This window comes from Homo sapiens, chromosome 18, assembly GCF_000001405.40.
Source record: "Homo sapiens chromosome 18, GRCh38.p14 Primary Assembly".
Lineage (NCBI taxonomy): Eukaryota > Metazoa > Chordata > Mammalia > Primates > Hominidae > Homo > Homo sapiens.
Window position 1 is genome coordinate 8,294,290 of NC_000018.10, and position 23,492 is coordinate 8,317,781.

A 23,492-nucleotide genomic window follows, 5' to 3' on the forward strand; every position below is an offset into this window, starting at 1 on the left:
GTTTATAAAGGAAAGAGGTTTAATTGATGCACAGCTCCACAGGGCTGGGGAAGCCTCAGGAAACTAACAGTCATGGCAGAAGGGGAAGCAAACACGTCCTTCTTCACCTCGTGACAGCAAGGAAGAGTGCCGAGTGAAGGGTGGGAAAAGCCGCTTATAAAACGATCAAATCTCATGAGAACTCACTATCAGGAGAATGGCATGGAGGTAACCACCCCCATGATTCAATTACCTCCCACCAGGTCCCTCCCACAACACATGGGGATTATGGGAACTACAATTGAAGATGAGATTTGGGTGGGGACACAGCCAAACCATATCACTCTTCAACTAGCGATGCATAGTGTGAGTCTGTTAATACAGCTGTTCATATATAGCACATCTGATCCTACCATGTTTTTGAAATGATAAATATAAGGTAAAAACTATTATGATAATGAAGTGTTACCTATGATCACGACTAAGGGACCTTAAGATGAGCAGATTAAACCTCTTAACTCTTAGGTTTGTAGTGTTATTTTTTTCAGTCTTCTGTGTTGTGTTTTAAAATGGTGTTGCTCAACTGTTTTATTGGGTGGATGTACAGGGGACAAGATCTGAAGCCTGAGGGCAGAACAGACCTGGGGCTAGGGTCTTCTCCAGCCAGTCTCTGATGCAAGCTCGGTTGTATGGTAACAGCAGTGTCCATATCCACCAGGCCACAGAAAAGACATGGACTTGACAAACTATGTAACTAATTACTGGATTCCAAACATAAATGATGAACACATAGCTCCCACTCTCAGGGAGTCCACAGCCTGGTGGCAGAGACAGACACAGAAACAACAGAGGATGCCAGGCACTGTCCACTTAGTGGTCAGAATACTATGCAGCACACAGGCAGGCAGAGTGGGGCACAGACATCTCGTGGCGTCTGCGAGCAGTGTCTCCTACTGCAGCAGTGCTAAGCAACAGTTTACCTCATGGGGGAGAGTTGGACCCACAAAAAGGAATAAATACATTCTACCTAGCGACAGACTAATCTGAAAATATTGTAAATGGTGGAAATGGCCAAGACGGCTGAACACCACAGGTGAGATGGAGACCGGGGAGGAAGGAAGAGCTTCTGTTTGGGAGAGAACTGAGAGAACTTGAAAGCCACCCTGGAGCACATCTGAGGACACGAGTCCCTAATGCCATGTTCTCTGGCCCCAAAGCGTTCCCAAATGGTGCTCTCATTCATCTGCTCACCCTTCATCTCTTCCTCTTTCCCTCTCTCTTCCTTCCCAGTGGGTGCCAGGAAGTATGTGAGTACCGTGGCAAAAACAAGAAATAGCTTTACTGAATCCTGTTCACTTCCATCCTTTTCCCATAACCTCCTCACATAGTTGACCACATAAAGGTAAAATGTAGTGTGAACTAAAGTGGAAATAAAGACACACATTTTATTTTACTTGTCCACTGAGAGTAGGGGACATTTTCATTACAACTTGAACAAAAAAAAATTGAATAACCTGAAGATTAAAGACTCCAGGCATCATAGTGCCAAATCCCTAAATAAATGGACATCTAAACTCCATTAAAAATGAAGAGAAAACTTTGGCAGAGTTTATTACAGGATTTTAGCCTGGAAGTCATAAAGTCTCAGCTTACCTACTCTCATGTTTTAACCAAAGATAACCTTTCTTCAATTAGCAATTAGGGAGAAAAAGACATCACTGTATCTCTTACAAGAATATTGAAAAATGACAATATAATTAAGAAATTGAGTGAAACATTAATTTCTCTGTATTAAATATTCAGCTGAGATGGGGATGAACATGTGACCATTTTTACTCGGTTATACAGAGAAATTGTGGGTTCACTCTTCAGCTTCCATCCCTGTGTTTGTAAGGTACTAACTAAAGGAAAACAAAGTTTAGAAAAAGCTAAATGAAATATTTAAAATATAAATGTAGTGTAATAATCCCTTGTCTCATTTCTGTCGGCATTCTTTCCTTCTTGACCCTTGTTCTACGTTTTTTAAGAACATCCTCCATCGTTAAGATCCCTCTGTTTACTGCGCCAAATTGTAATTCTCAGTCTCACTTTCCTTCTAGAGCTTCTTTGAAGGGCAGTCTGCACCATGGGACTCGGCTAAGAAAGATGAGAACAGAATGAAGAACAGATACGGGAATATCATTGCATGTAAGTGTCAACAGTGTCATTGTGCTGTTGTAGAACTTCCTTTTTGCATCTAGTAAGATTGACCACCAGGCTCATACAGAGGAAATTTACAGTGCAATTACCTCCTTCATCCTTCTAGAACAGCTGGTGTTAACGCTCGTACTAAAGAAAGGAATAACTGTCTACCCCCACTTCATCATTGTACTGTTGTCGTGGGCCCTGTTTTCCTTTTAGATTTAAGGTTTGGGTAACACAGGTAACGTTAAGATGCTGAGAAGGAAAATGCATTTTGGATGGAGTAAACATTATAGTCCTAATGGTTCCCAGCTGCTACGTGAGAATGAATGGAAATAATGATGCACAGCTTGCCTTAATGCAAAGAGCTCAGAGTTCTCAGCAAACATTAACTCATTAATCCTGTGGACACTGGGTTAGGTAGGTCAGTAATAGCCCCATTTTAAGGACAGGAAACTGAAACTCAGAAGTTAAATGATACTCCCCATATCACAACACTCATTAGCAAAAGAACTAGGATTATAGCTTAGACATTCCCAGTGCCTGTGAAACTGAATGTTACCAACCCGTAATGCCTTGGATGGTTTCTAAGTCGAGCCCAGCCTCATTAATGTTGCGTAGCAATGCTGAGACACGCGCTAGATTGATGAAACCCCTTCTCCCAGGGCCCGCACTATCCATCCCCCACACTAAACTGCTCTCCGTCATCCATGACTGCATCAAGGCACTGACAGGCCCGCTGTAGTCGCCTAACATAATTAATACTATTTATAAAGATACATAAATTTTAAAAAGCAACACAACAATGCAGATTAGGCCAAGAGAACATCTCGCTCCTCGTGTCTCATTTCTTACGAGAGAACAAACTTGGGAGGTTTGGTTATTCCAGAGGAGCAATCTATTAGCTTTATTGATTGTGAAAGTGCTGTTAAACTGTCTTTGCCTGAGTTCACATTTCTTAGTGTGACAGTACAGATTGTCTACCAGTGCTGCCCACAGAATTTCCTGTGACTGCAGAAATGTTTCGTGTCTATGCTGTCCCAGACGGTAGCCATGAGCCACATAGGAGTAGCTGCACTGTGTACTTGGAATATGGCCGTACGACTGAGAAACTGAATTTTACTTTATTTCTTGTTTTTGCTGTTCAAGAGTTTGACAACATGAATTTTAAATTGTATTTAATTTTAACTATTTTTAATTTAAACAGCCCATGAGGCTAGTGGCTACTACATAGGGCAGCACAGATTTCAGTGTGTTGTAGAAAAAGAAACTGGGGGGTAGAGTGGAGCTTACATATGACACAAAACGTCCCAGCTGAGCACATGCTGCTTTCCCTCCGGCCATCAAGAAAGCCAGATCGCCAGTGTTGCCAGGTATAAATGCTAGCTTCATGTGTTTTGTAGGTTGGTTTTAGAGCGTGCTGTATTTAGTAGCATTGGAGTGGTCATGTCACAGTCCTTTGTAGGTAGGAGATGCTGTCCTGAGGTCTAGGGTTGATTACTCCTCAGTGGATCCCATCAACACTTGTGGGATGCATTCTTGATACTGGACACTGAGGACGCAAAGGCCATGGAGATGAGATGGTGCCCCTGTCCCCAGGACAAACCCAACCGGGCAGTCAGATCGCTGTGGCAGTAGTCTAGCGCCGTGACACAGGGTTTTGTTGCAGCCTGGTACACAGTGTTCTAGAGGCTCAGAGAAGGAAAACATGGTTTCTTGGTCTATCTAGACTCTTCCAAGTTCCTTCATTTTCTCTGGGAGCCCACTGAAGCTTTGCGCTGTTAGAAGAATTCAGATTTCTCCTGATGGCTATGACATCCTTTCCAGGAGTCCCTTCAGCTCTGCAACAAACTCACAGAGAGTCTTGGAAGTGAAGTGGGGAATCCCCTTCCATACCAAGTGGAAGAGACATTGCTGAGCCTATAACCTCATCATTGTGGCATCACTGATGTGGCCTCGTGCTGAGCATACAGAATGCAATGAATGTCAAGGGGTGTAGCCTTGGGTATGCTGAGAGATCCAGCTAGCCTTTCTCCAATACAACATTGAGTCTGCTTCTTCCCAATGTATAGTTTAGTACCTCCTCATGGAGACACTGAGATATATTTTTGAATCATGAGTGAAAAAAGCTAGCATTTGCTGAGCACTTACATATGCCAGACACTACTCTAAGCACTTTGCACATCGAAACCCGCTCACTAACAACACCACGAAATAGGTAGTATTTTTGTATCTATTTTACAGGTGAGGCAATTGAGGGATAAAGAGGGTTAAAGAGTTTCACGGTTAATAAGGTATGGAGGCAGGATTCCAACCCAGGAGCAGCTTTTATAACCACTGCTGGATGGGTGCTGGGATGACTGGTCCCACTGGCTTGGTTTTCACCAGGTGTGGTGGCTCATACTTGTAATCTTAGCACTTTGAGAGGCTGAGGTGGGAGGATTGCTTGAGGCCAGGAGTTGGAGACCAGCCTTGGCAACAAAGCAAGACTCTGTCTCTACAAAAAAATTTTAAAAATTAGTTGGGCGTGATGGTGCGTGCCTGCAGTCCCAGCTACTCAGGAGGCGGAGGCAGGCAAACATGAGGATGGCCCTGTATTGATTGTTTCCTTTCTATAAAACGTCTGCAGGCTCCCCACCACGTTCCAAGCAGGTTTTCTCCTTTAAACCTCCAGAGATCCTGCCCATTTGTCTCCACTTGGCCCGTGTGGGTATTTGGTGTACAGCTGCTTGTCACAGGAACACTGAATTCTGTTCCTGTACCCGTTGCTCGTCACAGCTGGACAGAGAGTATGTACTTAAAAGGGTCCAATAATCCATCTCTTCATTCAGTAAATATTTATTCATCACTTTCTTTTTGCCAGACTCTGTGGGAGGCACTGCTATAAAAAGATAATGAAGGCTGAGGCGGGTGGATTACATGAGGTCAGGAGCTTGAGACCAACCTGGCAAACATGGTGAAACCCTGCCTCTACTAAAAAGACAAAAATTAGCTGGGCATGGTGGCATGTGCCTGTAATCCCAGCTACTCGGGAGGCTGAGGCAAGAGAATTGCTTGAACCTGGGAGATGGAGGTTGCAGTGAGCCGATCATGCCACTGCACTCCAGCCTGGGCAACAGAGCAAGACTCCAGAGGTCTCAAAAAAACAAAAAAAAAGGAAGATAATAAAACACAAGATACTGCCCTCCTAGTAGTTACAGTCTAGTGCAGGGGGTTGGCAAACTTTTTTCTGTAAAGGGTCCAGTAGTAAATGTGTTAGCCTTTAAAGGCCAATCTCAGTCTCAGTTCAGCTTCTTGGCTCTGCTGTTTTCATGCAAAAGCAGCCACAGACAGTACAGAAACAGATGGGTCTGACTATGTTCCAGGGAAACTTTTTCTGAAAGCCAGACAGTGGGCTACTTTTGGCCCACAAACAGTAGTTTTCTGACTCCTGGTTTAGTGAAGAACAGATTCCACAAGGGGAACTTTTTCTTACCCCCCAGGGCACATTTCTACCACCAGGATAGTTTTCAACTCTCAGGACCCTGAACTTGGGATCAATTTTTTCAGCACCCCAAACAGAGGTATCAGATGTGATTTGTGTGTCTGGCACAATGTTGTCAGAGGCGGGATGGGTTTAAATCTACCTCCTACCACCATGAATTTGCAGTCTGTGGCCAGATCAGGATAAGACATGCATGAAATAATAGATCTCAGGTCCATAAATAAATGGAGAATGTGTTGTGAGGACACCACTGGGGACTTGCAGGAGAAGGGTGAGTGGACGAGTGGCAGACTAATCAGGAAAAGACCTCTCAGGCAAAAGAGAAGGTCGTAGGGTTTGGAGATAGGAGGAACAGTTTGGAGTCCTTGTCCTACCACATACTGGCTCAATGACCTTGGGTGAGTCATGAGCCTTCTCAATGTCAGAATTTCCTGACAAGATCACGTGTTGTGGAAATGAACAGAAATGCCACATTAAAAGAACATTGATCGTTGTTACCTGAAAAAAAATCTCACTTCTTCATTACTTCTGTGTTACTCATCTTGAGTTTAGCAGATTCATTACTTCATTAAAAAAAAAAAAAAATCAGCATGTTGAAGTCTCCGATCCAAGTGATGAGCTGGTAGGTAATTCAGGGACCATCCTGCTCCTTACTAGTGAGCACGTCTATGTGCAGTGGCCCACTTCTGCCCAGGCGGGACTCTGGCTTCTGTTTCTGGGCATTGCGGTGGGCTGTCATTTACCCATGACCTCTGGGGCTACGTTTTCTAGCCCCCACCGCCCTCCATCCCATCCCTTCCAGTGCTCTTTTAGTGTTTCTTTACTGGGTTGTGTTATTTTTGTATCTTTCTAGGGACAGTGTCAAAAAGAGACTTCTCTGTCCAGCCTCCTAATCTTCCTCTCACCTTCCATGGCGTCCTGAAGCCCTTCCCTGGGTATCCGTGTTACCCCTTCCTCTAGTTTGCTGTTGCTTCCTGTACCCACACACACATAATGACCCACGCATACATCATGACTCACACGTACATAGTGGCTGTTTCTTTATGGGCATAGTGAATAGTATTACCATCCCCTGCCTAAAAATTATGTAACTGTAGAAAAGTCAGTTCCACTGCCTGTAAAGTCTGCTTCCTAGAGCCTCGGACTTGGGATAACACCACTAACTAGAATAAGGAATTGGGAATTCAGTCAGCATATCTTAGAGATTCTTGTTAGTGCTTTTCAAAGAACACAGAAGTGGTGTAATGATCACATTCATTGTTTTTGCAGCAGTGTTTGCATATAAAATAGTTTTAATGGTCCTTAAAACTGTTTATTGGCTTTTGCTCTTAAGTAAGTTAACTTTTCCCTTATTTACACTATAAATTTGCTGAGCTAGCCCCTTCCAAATATAAACCAACACCCTACCCACCATTACCGCCCCTCCACACACAAGCATAGCCCTCCTAATACTCTCAACAGTTCCTAATTATAATTAACTCTAAGCTTAAGGCACACACCAAATCTCCCTGCTAACGAGGCAGCCCCCTTGCAGCCGGCTCCTCTTTCTAGGGACTGGCAATTGGAGATAATGAGCCAGAATCTGCAGAAGCTTCCCAGGCTCCCTTCCTCCTCTCTTCTGATCTTTATTCAACAAGTATATATTGATCTGCCATGTGCCAGGCACTGTGCCAAACCACAGTCATTCTTTCAACAGATATTTGCTGAGTGCCTGTTATACACCAGGCACTATTCTAGGTGTCAGCGAGAGAGCAGGGAACAAAGCAGACAGGATGCTATGCTGGTGTCGTGCTGCACCTTCTTGTGGGGAAGACAGGAGCAATTGCTGAGTGCAGGGTGTCAACACCCATGTTAGGAGGTGAGCACCCAGCAAGGAAAATGAAGCAGGGAATGGAGATTGGTCAGGGTGGGTGATGTTTTTAGACTGTGGTCAAGAAAAGCCTCCCAGAGGGGATGAGATGCCAACCAGGACTTGAAACAGGTGAGAAGACGGAGGAGTGTGGCCGCCCAGGTGGCCGGTACAGCAGGGAAGGCTGTGCTGCCGGAGCAGCGGGAGTGGGGTAGGGGCAGAGGTGGGAGATGCAGGGACTCTGGGGTGACCACAGGAGCAAGAGCTGACAGGGCACCTGCCCTCCTGAAGCTGATGGTCCTGGAAGATTTCGTGGGGGAGAAGGGGGTGATGTAAATGATTACAAAATAAAATTCAAGTTAAGGGCACAGAAGGAGTTAACATGGTACCATGAGAACTCACAACGTGGGGACTGAGTGAGGAGGTATGGGAAGGCCTCCCTGAGGATGGGACATGGAAAACAACTGAACAAGAGGGGACGGAGCAGGGAGGATGCTGCAGAATTGGGAGGGGTTCATGTGAACAGACCCTGTCATGCCGGGGAGCCCCTTGGGTCTGAAGAACTAAAGGAAGGCTGGGTGGCTGGAGCTGGAAGGACAGGGGTTGGGCAAGAGAAGGAGGGAGGTGGAAGCCAGACCTACAGAGCCTTCTGGGGCAGGTTGAGGACTTTTGTCTTTATTATAAGAATAACGGAAACTTCATTAAAGGGGTTGGGGGGGTGTTAATAAAATTTCATTGGAAAATTTAGATCTGACTGCAGAGAAAGTAGGTTCGAAAGGGACAGCTGTTGAGGAATTTCCAGTAGCCCGAGTGTGACACGATGATGATGTTGGCTAGAAAGAAAATAAGTAGATGAATTCAGAAGAAGTAATGGACCCAACCGAAAGATGGATGGGAGACAGGGTGAGGAAGACAGAAGAGCCAGAGATGACTCCTGCGTTTCCGACTTACTGGAGGATGAATGGTTAGATGGATGATGGGCAGTTGAACAGGTAGACACATGGAAGGATGGATGGGCCATTCCCTTCCAGTATTATCCAGGATGGATAATACTGGAAGGGAACCAGCTGTGGAGAGGAGCTCAGGTTGGCATGAGATCAACAGCAGCTTATGAGTTTGATTTGGGGACATATTGAGATGCTTTTGAAACATGCAAATGCGATGCCAAGCAGACAGTTCTGTAGACTGCTGTGAAATCTGAAAGAGAGGGATCTGGGCTGGATTATAAATCAGTGACCCATTTCATGGGTCATATGGGTGGTGGTAGAAGCCATTGGCAGGAGGAGGTGATCTGTGGAGGGAGCAAGGAGGGCATAGAGAGCCCAAGACCCAGCTAAAGGGGCTTTAATAATGGGCGGTCCTGAGACAGAACTGCTCAGCGGTGCAGGGAGCACTCTCATGGAGAGAAGGGGTGCTGCTAGTGTCCTGTTGGTAGATCTAGTAGATCTAGTACAGCAGAGACTCTGATGTAGTGCTGAGGACACGAGGTCCCTTCTGAGGTGGGTTACCATGCCCTCCTACTCCATTTCCTAACAACGAGGTGTGACTAATCAGTGACTGGAGCTTTGGACCTACCCCAGATTCTTCTAGCCAGTGAGCCAATCTTGGTTGCTCACATTGAAGGCTTCACTTTTCTAACATTTTGTTTTATAGCAGTGTGCTTCTCTCTGCTAATTGAGTGACTCCAACAGCGTCTTTGAACGAAGGGAACCAGAGTTTATAGTTAGGTAAGAATGGCCTGGCAGAGCGAGCTTTTGGCATTAAATTCAGGTGGGCACGAGCAAGAGAGAAGCAGATGGACACAATATGTTTAGGAAGGCATAGGGTAGAATAAATAAATCCCTGCCAGGATTCTGAAGAATAAAGAGAGAGCTCTGACACAGGGATTAGTCAGTCAGAAAAAGAGTTAGAAAACAAGGCAAGACCCACATGAAACCAACAGGAAGAGGAAAATTCATATGGAGCCACCATCATCGAACTCAAACTTCCTGCTCAGAACCTGCATGGCAGAGCTGGGAACCGGGTGGAAACAAGCAGGGAGACTGCACTGGAGGTGGCATCTCCACCGGGTAAGGCGCCAAGCACTTCCTGAGTTGCAGGCACACTGGGTCTCCTGTAGACCCTACCTTGAAACAAGCACAACAGCAATCCTCAGCCCAAATGCAGCCACGGGAGGAGCAAATCCATTATTTGCAGAAATCAATTGTAATTAAAATTAATTTCCAGCCTTCTCTCAGAGGCTAAATATTACCTTGATAATTGTGATTCCAATTTACCTTATATATGTCACCAGTATGTAGCAGAGAGAAAGAATTGGTTAGAGGTGAAAGATTATCAGTGATACACTCTATTTCTGCCGCTGTGGGAATATCTAATCACACACAAGTTAAAACTGCATGACTATTGTCAATATCCGTCATGTTTAATATGGAAGTGTTAAAATATTTGAAGTTACTTAGAGATATTTTTAAACGTAATGTTACCTGATGGAAAGGGCAGAAATACCATGTTCTACAGACTTAGGGTGGGGCATAGACCTGCCCTAAATCTCGCATCACCCCAGTCCAATGCATGCCTATGTACACGGGGGGAAAACCTCAGCGGATTATAATTCTTCAACGCTAAGCACTGGTTTGTTGTGACAAGGTCTTTATGTGCCTGTTTCTTACCCAAAAATATCTGCTTTTCTCTGTTTCATCTAGTAAAGGCTTTTTTTGAGAGATATGAGACAAATAGCAAGTCGTTTTTATGCAGATGGAGTTTCTCAAAGTGGCAGAGTTTGTTACATTTCTTGATGGGGTAACATTGAGTTGTGATTATGATATAAACATGAGTTTAATTTTGATCATATTCAAGTCATGCATGGCAAATAGATTTCTTTTTCTCCAATTCATACACATTAAAGAAACTTTGTACACTGTGGAAAACTTGGGGAACATATCCCAGAATCTCACCATCCAGATTCAAACCCTGCTAACATTTTTTTTATGTTTCATTCCAGTCTTCTTATTTTTCTATCTCTTGAAGCTGTTGACTTTATTTTTTTTTTTTTTTTGCTCTTTGTTTTTCAATGAGAATAGATGTGTTATTCTCTTTCTAATTACAAAGATAATATAAACCTTGTGGACCATTAAAGTAGTACGTAAAATCATAAAGATGATAATAAAAATCACTCCAGATTTTATCCCCTGCAGAAACCTCATTCTTCCAGTTGTCCCACTGTGCATACCTACACGTACACCAATGCGTTTGATTATTTCATGTAAATAGACTCTTATTAGACATGCTGCCTTGTAGCCTGCTCTTCTTCACTCTGTAATATGTCCCAGAGATCTTTCCAGGTAAATAAATTAAAGGCCTGGTAATCCTTTTGAATGATTTTATCAGATTTTTTGCTTGTTTGCCCACCATTCTTCAGTCTCCTGTTTATATCATTGAATGGTTACCAAGGTGGTGTTAGGAAAAAAACGTCTGTTTTAGAAAAAGCAGTCCTTGGCATGGATTCACTAGTGAGGGAAGCAACTAGAGGCAAAAATGAAATAGTGCAGATGAAAATGATCAGGTCTTGAATTAAGTCATTGGCACTAATAAGACAAGTGATAGCTAACTTTCCCTTACTTCTTATTGTATACCAGCTACTTACTAATGATTACTTATATTAATTCACTTAATCCTCACAAAACTCTATAATATAGGCAGTATTGTTATTCCCATTTTACAGTTGGGGAAACTGAGGCACAGAGCGGTCAAATAACTTCTCCAAGGCCACACAACTAGAAAGCAGCATAACTGAGATTCATACAGGGATTCTGGCTCGGGAGCCCGGGATCCTAACCTCCGTGCTCCACTACACAGAAATAGGGATAGGTTGTTGAGCAGATACCAGGAGATTAAAATGTAGAAGTTATTGAAGAGCATTCAGCATGTCTTCAAACATTTCTCCTGTTTCCTTTTTAAAAGTATCTCCACCTCCTCTTCCCTGAAAGATTGGCTGCTTCCAGTTTTCAGTTCTGCCCTGCTCTGCTGTTCCCCAGTAAGCATACTGGCTCTTTGTGCTTTGAAGATTTTATTGGTAAACTTCAACAAAGATGTTGCTTTTATTCACAGAAAAGGGGTAATTTTTTTTTTTTTTTGGATGGAGTTTCACCCTTGTTGCCCAGGCTAGAGTGCAATGGTGCGATCTCAGCTCACTGCGGCCTCTGCCTCCTGGGTTCAAGTGATTCTCCTGCCTCAGCCTCCCAAGTAGCTGGGATTACAGGCGCGCATCACCACACCTGGCTAATTTTGTATTTTTGGTAGAGACGGAGTTTCTTCATGTTGGTCAGGCTGGTCTCGAACTCCCGACCTGAGGTGATCCGCCCACCTCGGCCTCCCAAAGTGCTGGGATTACAGGCGTGAGCCACTGCGCCTGGCAGCGTAATTTTTTTTAAGGGGAACTAACTGTACTGTGTTCCAGGCACCTGATAATACTATGCATTATCTTATTTGGTCCTCCCAGAACTCCTAGGAAAGTAGCCCCTTGTCACCCCTTTTTACAGATGAAGCTCAGCAGGACTCCAAATTTGTGCAGATGCATGTGAGTTGTAGAGCCAGCATCAAATCATGGTCTTGGACACCAAAGCCCCTGTTAGTTTCATTTCCTGCAAAATGTGAATGTGAAATGGCTTTGGAATAATCAAGGAAAAGCACCCATGCTGGCAGAGAAATACAGATGGTAATTAAAAACTACAGCTCAGGTCTTCTCAAACTTAGCAGGCTGTGTGCCCCAGAAATACCAAGTCCTCATAGTCTTGACCCCGTGGTTTTCATGGTTAGTAATTGACCTGTTGTTAACCACAAAACTGATTGAATTCTACAGATCTTATGCCTAGGCAGTTGAGTTTTCCAAACTTTTTCCTCCCTTCAACCCCAATGGCTAGACCCTGGCCCTGAGAGAGGGCCCCTCCCAGCTGGTAAGCCTTCAAAACAAACCTGCAGAACAGGGCTTATCATTGGACAATTGGCATTTCTTTGGATTCTTTGTCTGAGTGTCTCCCACATTTGCCAGATGCCAGAAATGTCTGTGAGGCATTTCCTCATAAAAATTTGATATGATTTAGCCTCAAGAGTACCCCAAGGAATAACTGAGTTTTCCTGAAAGAATGGTTGATACATATTTGTCTTTGTAATTGGCATCTGATTCAAGGTGAATGATATTTCAAGAACATATGGTGAGGGGCATCCATATACTGATTTATTTGCCCCAACAGTCTATATCTGTTGTTTTCATAGTCATCTGAGAGCTTTGTTTGAGAGAGGACGCGTAAGAATCTGCAGTTTCTGTGCCAAGTCATTCTTAGACGTCCAAGCAGCAGAGCATGGGGGAGCTGGAAGAGCCAATCATTTCACTTCTTTAGCTTTTACATTCACCGACTTAATGTGAGTGATGGTGATACTTACCTATTTCTTGTATTCTGGAAGACATAGGGATTAACTTGAGAAGTGCTGACCTGTTTCAGCCAGGAAGTGCAATCATGTGATGATCAGCCTGCTGCTCTCCATGGCAGAACACATGTCCCGCGTTCTCCACCCCAACTGGACCCTTTCTTGAGACTTACCCCACGCTCACTGCTAACACAGGTATCTCCTGGGCTTGAGGTGGATTCACTTATCAGTGTTCACCTTATTTTATCACTAAAACAAAAATACTTCATAAACTACATAATGTATGACTGTTATCCTCTATTAGAAAGCTATAGAGGCCAGGCGCGGTGGCTCACACCTGTAATCTTAGCACTTTGGGAGGCCAAGGCAGGCAGATCACCTGAGGAAAGGAGTTTCAGACCAGCCTGGCCAACATGGTGAAACCCCGTCTCTACTGAAAATACAGAAATTAGCTGGGCATGGTGGCAGCTGCCTGTAATCCCAGCTACTCAAAAGGCTGAGAGAGGAGAATTGCTTGAACCCAGGAGGCAGAGCTTTCAGGGAGCCAAGATCGCGCCATTGCACTCCAGCCTGGGCAACAAGAGTGAAACTCTGTCTCAAAAAAAAAAAATAAAAATAAAAAAAAGAAAGCTATAGAGTCACCGTCACTCCTGCCTTGATTTCATCAGGGAAAGGGAACTCACCATCTCAGGAAAATGTGCCTAGCAAAAGAATTCACAGGGCTCTAGGCTGCAAGTCCATGAATGCCCTTTCCTAGGATATCAGGGACCAGAGTGGAACATGAGCTATTATTACAAGGGAGGGATGGAAAAATTAGACTTTTTTTATTTTTGGAAAAATACACATAAAATTTACCATCTTAACCATTTTTAAGGTCAGTGCCATTAAGTACTGTTAAAAGAAAAACTTTAGACAAATTAAATTTAGCCAGGTTTATTTGAGCAAAGACCAATTCATGAGTCAGGCAGCCCTCAGAAACAGAAGAGGTTCAGAGAGCCACACCTACAAGTGTGAGTGGCAGGCTTTTGTAGGCCAAACAGAGAAGCAAAGTAGAGAAATCACCTAATTGGCTACAGCTAGGCATCTGCCTTATTTGAGCATGGTGTGATGAGTTTGGAGTTGGCTGCCTGATTGGTTGAAACCCTTCCTGTTTTATGTATTCCCTAGCACATGGTCCAATAGAAAGAAACTATGAAATATAAATGCAAGCCACATGTATAATATTAAATTGTCCTTAAATCTAATAGCCACACTAAGTAACAGAAAAAGAAATAAATTACTTAAGTTTAGTAATATATTTTATTAAATCTAATATGTCCTAAATGTCAACTTTTCAACATGCAGTCAGTATAAAAAATATAAATGAGGTATTTTACATTCTTTTTATCGTGCTAAATATTCCAAATTTGATGTGTATTTTACACTTACAGCACAATTAGGATTAGCCTCATGTGGCTAACAGATACCCTATTAGACAGTACAGATCTAGACAATATAGTTACATTTTGCCTGGCTTTTAACTTTACATAAGTAAAAGTATGTAACATATATCTCTGTTATCCAGTATTGTACCTACTAACTACACATAATTGTTTAAGTTCATTAAAATTAAATTAAAATTTCAGTTCCTTTGTTACTCCAGCCACATTTCATGTGCTCAGTAACTAGTGTGGCCTTTGTACTGGTGAGCACAGATATAGAATGTTTCCATCAGCACAGAAAGTTCTACTGGACAGCGTTGGTATATACTCTTCTGTGTATTGCTTTTTTTGTTGTTCAACTATGTTTGTATGATTTGTTCAAGTTGTATGTAAATGTAGCTTGTTCATTTTCATTACTAAATAGCATTCCACTTTATTAATATAGTACAATTTATGTCTCCCTTCTGTTGATGGACATTTGGATTGTTTATAGTTTTGTCAATTGTAAACAGTATTGCTTCAGTACGTTTCAAGATGCACACAGTATCCATTTCCTCATGGCTGGGTCATAGGTCGTGGATGTCTTCAGCTTTACTAACTAGCAAATTGTTTCCCAAAGTGATTGTACTAATTTTCATTTCCACCAGCAGAATCTGTGAGTTTATATTATTCCACATCCTCACCTGAACTTGGTGTTCAGACTTAAATGTTTTGCCTTTCTAGTGGGTATGTGATGGTATCTCATTGTAAGCTGGGCTTTTTTTCACTTACTGATAAAAATAAATGTTTATTGATTATATATTTATCAATATATATTTATACTATTATTTTCATAGAAGTGTGCACACAGGAGGTGAAGATGAATATAAGACACAGCTCCTCTTAAATAGTTTTTGTTTTTATAGAGACAGGGTCTTGCTCTGTTGCCCAGGCAAGTGCAGTGGTGTAATCATAGTTCACTGCAGCCCCAAACCACTATGCTCAAGGGATCCTCCTGCCTCAGCCTCCCTAGGACTACAGGTGTGCTCCACCATGCTAGGCTAATTCTTTTTTCAATTTTTATTTTTTATAGAGACAAGGTCTCTAAAAATAATAATAAAAATGTCATGTTGCCCAGGCTGGTCTTGAACTCCTGAGCTCAAGCTATCCTCCTGCCTCGGCCTCCCAAGTAGCTTGGTCTGCAGGCATATGCCATCACATCCAGCTAAGGTATTTTTGATCTGTAGGAGAAATAAGTCATGTCTATAGATAACCATATATAAGAGCACCAAAAAGTGAAATCAAAGGACTATTGACATTTAAGGAAGGAGAATTTATACCCAACAACCTACTCCATATCTCTATTCAGATGGTAAACACCTCAGATTAAATATATCCAACACTGCGTGCCTCATTTCCATCACCCACCCCAAGCTGGCTTTTCTCCATGGTTCACATCTTAGTCAATGGCACCATCTTCTGCCCTTTTTCTCAGATCAGAATCCTAGAAGTCAACATGATACCTCTTCTCATCCACAATAAGTGAACTGATCATTGTGGTCAGTCCTACCACCTAAATACCCCTCAGATTCAGCCCTGTCCACTAGCCCTCTCTATGCTAAACTGCCATTGATCCCCTAGGACTCTTGCAGTAGCCTCCCCATTGTCTCCCCACTCCCACAGCCCTTCCAGTTCGTCCTCAACAATAGCGGGCATCTGATGAAATGAAGCACGCCCCTGCCTGTGGCTTCCCACGGTGCTCAGGATGAAGGTCCTAATGACCTGGCCTTCCCTCCTCTCTGTTCTCATTTCCCACCACTCTCCTCCCTGGCTTCTGACAGCACATTCACCACACCAACCTTCTTTGGTTTCCTGAACATACTAGATCCTTCCTACCTCCTGGCCTGAATACACACTATCTCCTGGACTTGAAATTTAGGAGTTCTGCCCTCTCCACTTTCCATCTTCATGGTTTGAGCTTCAATGTCCCTTTATTAGGGAATTGTTTGCTAGCTCTTCAGAGTAGGTCAGGACCCATGCCATTCACTCTCATAGCTCTCTGTCCTTTCCAACTTAGCACTTATCAAAATTGTATTTAAGTCATTATTTAAGCAATGACTGTTTAATGTGTTTTCCATTGCCTTAAGTCCCATGAACTCAAGCACCGTAAATCTAATTTGTTTAACACTACATATCCCCAACACTTAGCATAGTGTTTGGCATATAGCAGATACTCAAAAAGTCACTGAATAAATGAGAAGACCTTACTGAGGAGGGGACATCTGAGTTGAATACTGAAAAATTGGCAGAATTTGGACAGTTAGAGATGGTTAGGAATGATTAGGTAAGAGATTTCTAGAAGATGAAATAGCTCAGTATTCTGACAATATTAGACAAGCCTGTATTAAAACTGAAATTTAGGCTGGGCGTGGTGGCTCACGCCTGTAATCCCAGCACTTTGGGAAGCTGAGGCAGGTGGATCACCTGAGGTCAGTGGTTCCAGAACAGCCTGGTCAACATGGTGAAATCCCATCTCTACTTAAAATATAAAAATTAGCCAGGCGTGGAGGTGTGTGCCTGTAATCCCAGCTACTCAGGAGGCTGAGGCAGGAGAATCACTTGAACCCAGGAGGCAGAGGTTGCAATGAGCCGAGATCGCGCCATTGCACTTTAGCCTGAGCAAAAAGAACAAAACTCCGTCTCAAAAAAAAAAAAAACCTGAAATTTAAAAAGGCACTGTGGACCCATTCAAGGTATCTTGGATGATCCTGGACCACCACCCATTCATTAGCATGGGGAAGAGTTCAATCCTTGTTGCTCACTTGCTGTGTATTAGGCAGGGCCCCACACATGGGACTGCAGCCTGTGCCTCTGTGCTGTGAATGGAGTCTTTTGGAGTTAGGCATGTGACCTTGGGGAAAGGTACTCTTAGGGATGTTCAGATTATATATGACACTGTCTCTGACCACAGGACATTGTAATCTAGTAGAATCAATAAAAGAAAAAAGATACTACCATGTATATAAAGGCAAAACCCATCTCATTCTGTTAGGAAGTCAACTGTACATGTGTCTTACAGGTTTCTCCATCCTGAGGGGAGTAAGGGCAATTGAATCTGGAGAAGTAGCAGCCAAGTTAAATTTTGGGGTGTGGATAAACTGAACTGTAGGAGATGATGGTAAAACTCTACTTCAGAGGCTCTGTTGATAGGAAATAGGAATTCAGTCCTGGTGGAGATTGACGTCCCTAAAGAGAACCCTCCAGAATAGCCTGAGCAGCCCATGGGTGGTAAATCACAGGGAATGAGCAGCACTCATCCTGAGGAGCTCAGAGAATTCAAGCACAAAATAGACAGGAATCTGACGAGGGGGTACAACAGATCTTCGAGACAGGCCTGCTTAGATTGCAAGGTTCTAATTCGGTCGGTTGCCTGCCTTTTGAAAACCTGCCCAGGGAAAGCCTGAGTATCCAGGAAGGTGAACCTGACCTCCCTTCAGAGGAGCTGACGAAAGCCCAGTGTGTGTGGAGTAGCCGTGATTCAGTTCTAGGGTGCATCTTTCATTCTTGAAGTTCAAATGGCATTGCCGGTGCTTGTGGCACCCTTCTGTGCAGTAGTTGCATGTAGGCACTGGCTCTCCTAAGATACACAAAAGCCATAACAATCTACACATGTCCAGTGCACCAGCTCACCTCCCCCAAACCCCCAACAGTGGAAAACATATACAGGGAGCCACTGGTTTTAAGCAGCAAAATGTGTCCTAGGAAATTGGTTCTTAAAGCAGATCACCATGAGGAAACATTCTGACTGCCGGTGAGTCTGTTCCTGGGGTTGCTGTTATCTGCTTGGACATCATCTGTAAAAACAGCAGGAAGAAAAATGTGGCTGTCCATTACATAGCCCATGACAATAATAACTGACATCTATCCATCGCTTCCTATATACCAGGCTTTTTTATGATCTCTTTATGTGTATTATTTTGATGCTCACAGTAATCCCACAAGGTAGGCACTCTTCATCTCCATTTTACAGCGAAGGAAGCACAGAAAGATTAAGTAACTGGCCCAAAACCACACGTGAAGGATTCTAACCCACCAGCAGCGATTCTCACCCACACACTCGACCCCAGAAATTGCTCATCCCATAGTCTCCTGTGAGCAGAGCAGGAAGACATGACCTCCTCTCAGCTTTTCTCCTTCTCTGGCCCAGCTTGTCACCACATTCCAGATAAACTTATTGCACCCCAACTAATGGTAAGGCACTGACATGAAATAATGTGACTACCTGTCATGAAGTGGAAAGCCCCGTCAAGGAAGGAAAGTTAGAAAATTGACACCGATTTCCTTCTGCCTGTGCTGTTGACAACAAACAAAACATTTACTCGACAGGAGGTTAAACTCCAGAAACCAATATGAAATTTTGACTTTCACCCATTAGCATTTCAAGGAATGGGTCCAGGTCAATAGTTGCTCCAGTGACTGAGGATAAAAGGGTCCGTCATCTGCAGCTCCCCTGGCTTTTATCTCAAAAGCTGTGGGCTTCATTTCTCACCCACTAACCCAAAAGAAATGTTGAGTAAAGTTAGCATCAGAAAAAGGCAGTAGCAGTTTAGAAGCAGGGTTTCCCACTGCTCTAGCAACATTGGAAGTGAAGTTTTGCAAAATGTTCTTATCAGGCCCCCCTGTGCTTTCCTTTCAGGGCAGCTGGCTTTTATCTGTTCTGAATACTGAGTTTTAGCATACACTTTAATTGGAAGGAAGGGTCCCTCTGCTAAAAGGAACAGTTATTTAGGTAAATACTTTTTAAAGGACATATATTTTCAAAAAACGACAATGCACTTTTTATTTCTTCAAAAGTTATTTTGGGGGTAAATCTGCTATGTTCCAGGCTCTAATCTAAAGGCCAGGGACACAGCAGTGATCAGTGCAGGAAAATTCTGCCCTTAGGGTGCTATTAGCACATCCTTTCTTTTTTTTTTTTAATTTTTAGTTTTTTATTTCAATAGGTTTTGGGGGAACAAGTGGTGTGTTTGGCTACATGAATGAGTTCTTTAGTGGTGATTTCTGAGATTTTGGCGCACCCGTCACCCAGGCAGTGTACACGGTACCCAGTGTGTAGTCTTTTCTCCCTTACCCCCTTCTCCCCCTTTCCCCTGAGTCCTCAAAGTCCACTGTATCATTCTTATGCCTTTGTGCCCTCTTAGCTTAGCTCCCATTTATGAGTGACAACATACGAAGCACATCCCTTTTTAAAATATGGATTTGGGGCCAGGTGCTGTGGCTGACACCTATAATCCTAGCATTTGGGAGGTTGAGGCAGGAGAACTGCTTGAAGCCAGGAATTTGAAACCAGCGTGGGCAACATAGCCAGACCCCATTTCTGAAAAAAATTAAGGTAACAAATAAAATACAATATACATTTTCAAGGAAATAATTGAGATACATCAATAGTATTTGCAGATAATTTTTTTTACCCTGGAAATACTTAAATATAACTAATTAATACCATAAATATGAGCCCTCTATAGTACTTATGTGTCAATTTGTGTTTTCATTGAATCCTGGACACAGCCCACTTTGAGGCAGGTAGTGTCATCCCCTTCTCCAGATGAGGAGGCTGAGGCTTGGTGCCTTTATTTCCTGGCCTGTGGTCACATGATGGATGGTGACAGCTTTGCTCTTGCTGGCTGATGCCCGCAGATACAGATAGGACTTAGGGAACTCACCAGTGACTAAGGCTAGGATCACATCTGCACATCCCAGAAGCCTGCACCGTGAGTTTGTAATCATCATTTGTCAAGGTGGGTGTCACAGCCTTCAACATCTCAGGGTTTGTATGTGATTTAGTGAAGTTGCTCAAACTTCCAGTCCAAGATCTACTTATGTTTGTGGTTCACAGGATTGTATGTAAAAGTGTCAAACCTTTGTCAATGCTTTAGGCCCGTCAATGATCAAAGAATAAGTTAATGAGATTTACTGTAAAATGTTAAAAATTACAAATCCTTCCCAATTTTAATAGCAAAATGGGAAGTAGAGGGTGTGTACTATTTAATTCTTTATCTTTAAAGCAGAGTGTCTGTGGGTGATCTCTATGTAATATGCTTACATTCTGGGGCTCAGAGCCACCTACCAGATTGCTTTTGTTAATCGTTATTTTCTGTCCCTTTTCCTTTGCAGACGATCATTCCCGAGTGAGGCTGCAGACAATAGAAGGAGACACAAACTCAGACTATATCAATGGCAATTATATCGATGTATGTATTTTATTATTTTTAATTGATATATAATTGTTGTACATATTTGGGTGCTATGTATGATATTTTGATACATGTATACAATGCATAATGATTAAATCAGAGTATAAAACTCAGTAAACCCAACCATTCTGACATGTACCAGATTGTGTGTCTGCTGAACGATTGTTGGACATACATTGGGCTCAATCTAAAAGCAAACACATGAATATTACCCTGCACACCACAGAACTTAACAGTGAAGACACGGTCACTCCTTTTCTCAAGGTAGCCCATTCGTTGGTGAATTTCTCTGTAACATTCTATGCCTTCTTTGCCATCTCATGCTTATGTGGACTAAGAAAATGTTATTTCCATTTTTTTGTCAACAACTCATATTATTCGACACTTAAAAAATTTGTTTGCATATTAATGGGACAAAACTCTCTAATTCCTAATACGGCGATTTGCAATCCCTTGTCATCACTGCACTTTTAAGTTGTCTTCAAAGTAGTCTGCATCTGTTCACCAGGACTTCTAATGCAAGCAAGACATGTCATTAAATATGTAGGCTGTTTAATTATTGAAGACTGCCTCTTTGTTCATTCTGCATCATGTTAACTTAATGTTTTACATTAGAATAAATTCTTTAGGAGACAGCATGTTTTCAGTTGAAAGAATGAATGAAATCAAAAGTAGACTGAAAAATCAAGGGAAAGTTGCTGTTACCTCCAAGGCCCGAGTTTATATTAAACAGATTTCTGCTCCCTTGTGGTTCCGAAGGCATACTCTGTGCTTGGCCTTCACACTATTGCTTAGTCTATCAGTACTTCCATAGACAGGATTGATCCATATATATGGATTGTTTTGCTTCTTGATTGAATATTACTGAGATGCTACTAAAAGTAAATAGCATCACAATCTCTAAGAAAGTTATCTAAAAATAACTATGAGAATGTTATCTTTAGTGCTAATTAGACAGATTTGGCATTTTCAGTTATAGATTTTTGGGTAGGGACTGGGGTATGATTATTTCAAGAATAGTTCATCTCTCATTCATCAAACGAAGACCCCTGCACTATTTTGATAACAACCAAAACCATACCCTCTCCAGGTTCCATTTATTTTTTATTAAAGCAAGCTTTCTTCATAAGGTGCATTGCACTTACTCTTTTAATCAGCACATGTTTAGTGAGAACCTCATGGGAGTACTCAGATGTTCCAGACCAGTTATCTCCTCCTCACAGTCTCCCAACTCAGAAGCTGAGAAGCTGAAATATGAGTGTCTTATCCAGTCCACTTACCTCCAGGCCAACTGTAGCACACCTTCCCTTGAGAGGCTCCAGGGGACACCGTTCACACTCCAGTCCCAGCTCCTGCAGTCTCTACTGGGTCCTTGAGTACAGGGACAGTGTCCTAGGCATCTTACTTCCCCTGCACCTGGCACATGCCTGAATATAGAGAGCCCTTAGTAAGTGTTTCATGAAACACCCACTGAAGGAGTCATTGTGATCAGATTAGGCATCATAGAGGATGTAATTTGAATAAGCTTTAACCGGTGAGTAAGTGGAAATGCAGGAGAGAAGATATTCCAGCTCAAGGAGGTCACATACATGAGCAAGGCTATAAAGTAATGAAAAGACTGGATTACTGAGTTTGAATTGTATTTTAAGAGAGAAGAGCCAATACTGAGGGCCTCTTTATTCTCTTAGTCAATAGATCTTATTGAGTACTTGTGCGTTATTTACCTTTCTAGGTGCTAGCAGAAAAACTGTGAACCGTTCAAACCAAAACCAAAAAAACCTCTGACCCAGTGGAGCTGCTGTTCTAATTAGGAGAAATGGGCAATAAATTAAAAAGTTAATTCTGTATGGTCAATTAGAAAGTTGTATGTACTGCAGAGAAAACTAAAGCCGTAAAGGGGGACTCGGAGCGCCAGACCTGGAGGCCCTGATGGCAATTTTGAATCGAGTGGCTCAGTCCCACTGAGAAGGTAGCAAGTGAGCAAGGAAGACAAGGGGTTGAGCTATATAGATACCTGGAAGAAGAGCATTCTGGGCTGAGAAACGGCCCAAGCAAAGGCCTTGTTGTGGAATTTGTGCCTGGCGATTTTGAAGAAAAGCAAGCAGGCAATCATTGGCATGGTGTATGGGGGCCTGCGGAGTTCCATGATATGGGGAGAGGTCATGGGCCAGGTCAGGTCCACAGTTGTAAGGACTTTGGCTTTTACTGTGAGTGAGATGGGCAGTCGTTAGAGGTATCTGAGTAAAGCCGTGATCTGGCTGCTGGGAGGGAAGTGAACTGCACTTGGCCAGGAGAGGAAGCAGAGAAGCCTGCTATGTGGCTGTGGGAATCATCAGAGAGGTGGCAGTGGAGGTGAGAAATGGCGAGACCCTTGAGCTGCATTGAAGGTAGAGCCAGTAGGATTTGCTGGCAGATTGGCTACGGGGTTCAGGAGGGAGAGAGGGGTCAAGGATGCTGAGGAGAAGATGGTGTGTGGAACAGATTCAGGTAGGGGTTAGGGAGGAAATGAGGAGTTCAGTCTTAGGTGTGTGAAGCTTTAAATATATATTAGACCTCCCAGTGGAGGTGTTGAGCAGGCAGTGGGTATGCATCAAAATTCCCAGGAAAAGGTCTAGGCTGGAAACAAGAATATAGGATTCATCAGTGTACAGACGAGCTTGAAGGCCATGGGGCTGGAGGAGCTCACTCAGAGAATGAGAGCAGATGGAGGAAAATGTCCAACAACCAGGCCTTCCACATCAAGTTGAAAAGGGAGAACCAGCCAATGAAATTGAGAACAAGCGGCCAGGGAGGTAGGTAGGAAGAAAACCAGGAGAGTCACATCATGGAACCAGGGAAGAAAGCATTTTAAGGGGATTGATTATACTCATGCTGCCGATGGCCAAGTAGATAAGGACTGAGAAATGATGGTGATGTTCAGC

General features: G+C 43.0%; 1 protein-coding gene across 30 annotated transcripts in view, besides 1 other annotated feature; it reads left to right on the forward strand.

The window, feature by feature from the left end:
• The window catches only part of PTPRM (protein tyrosine phosphatase receptor type M), an 839,541-nt gene that overhangs the window by 726,974 nt on the left and 89,075 nt on the right, over window positions 1-23,492 (forward strand). For 29 of the 30 annotated variants that reach the window (XM_011525708.3, XM_047437715.1, XM_011525712.3 and 26 more), the window contains 2 exons: window positions 2,079-2,166; window positions 20,492-20,568. In XM_011525708.3, the coding sequence (XP_011524010.1) occupies window positions 2,079-2,166; window positions 20,492-20,568 (165 nt within the window). Of the gene's footprint in view, window positions 1-2,078; window positions 2,167-20,491; window positions 20,569-23,492 lie in introns of those variants that run through there. The other variant, XM_047437721.1, reaches the window with a different exon arrangement.
• Window positions 2,188-3,387: an enhancer, noted in NCBI's record as "BRD4-independent group 4 enhancer chr18:8296475-8297674 (GRCh37/hg19 assembly coordinates)". NCBI's record gives its function as "activates an origin of replication core promoter dependent on BRD2, P300/CBP, MED14 and CDK7 cofactors, and independent of BRD4, by STARR-seq in HCT116 cells {active_cell/tissue: HCT116}" and the evidence as "EXISTENCE:reporter gene assay evidence [ECO:0000049][PMID:35650434]".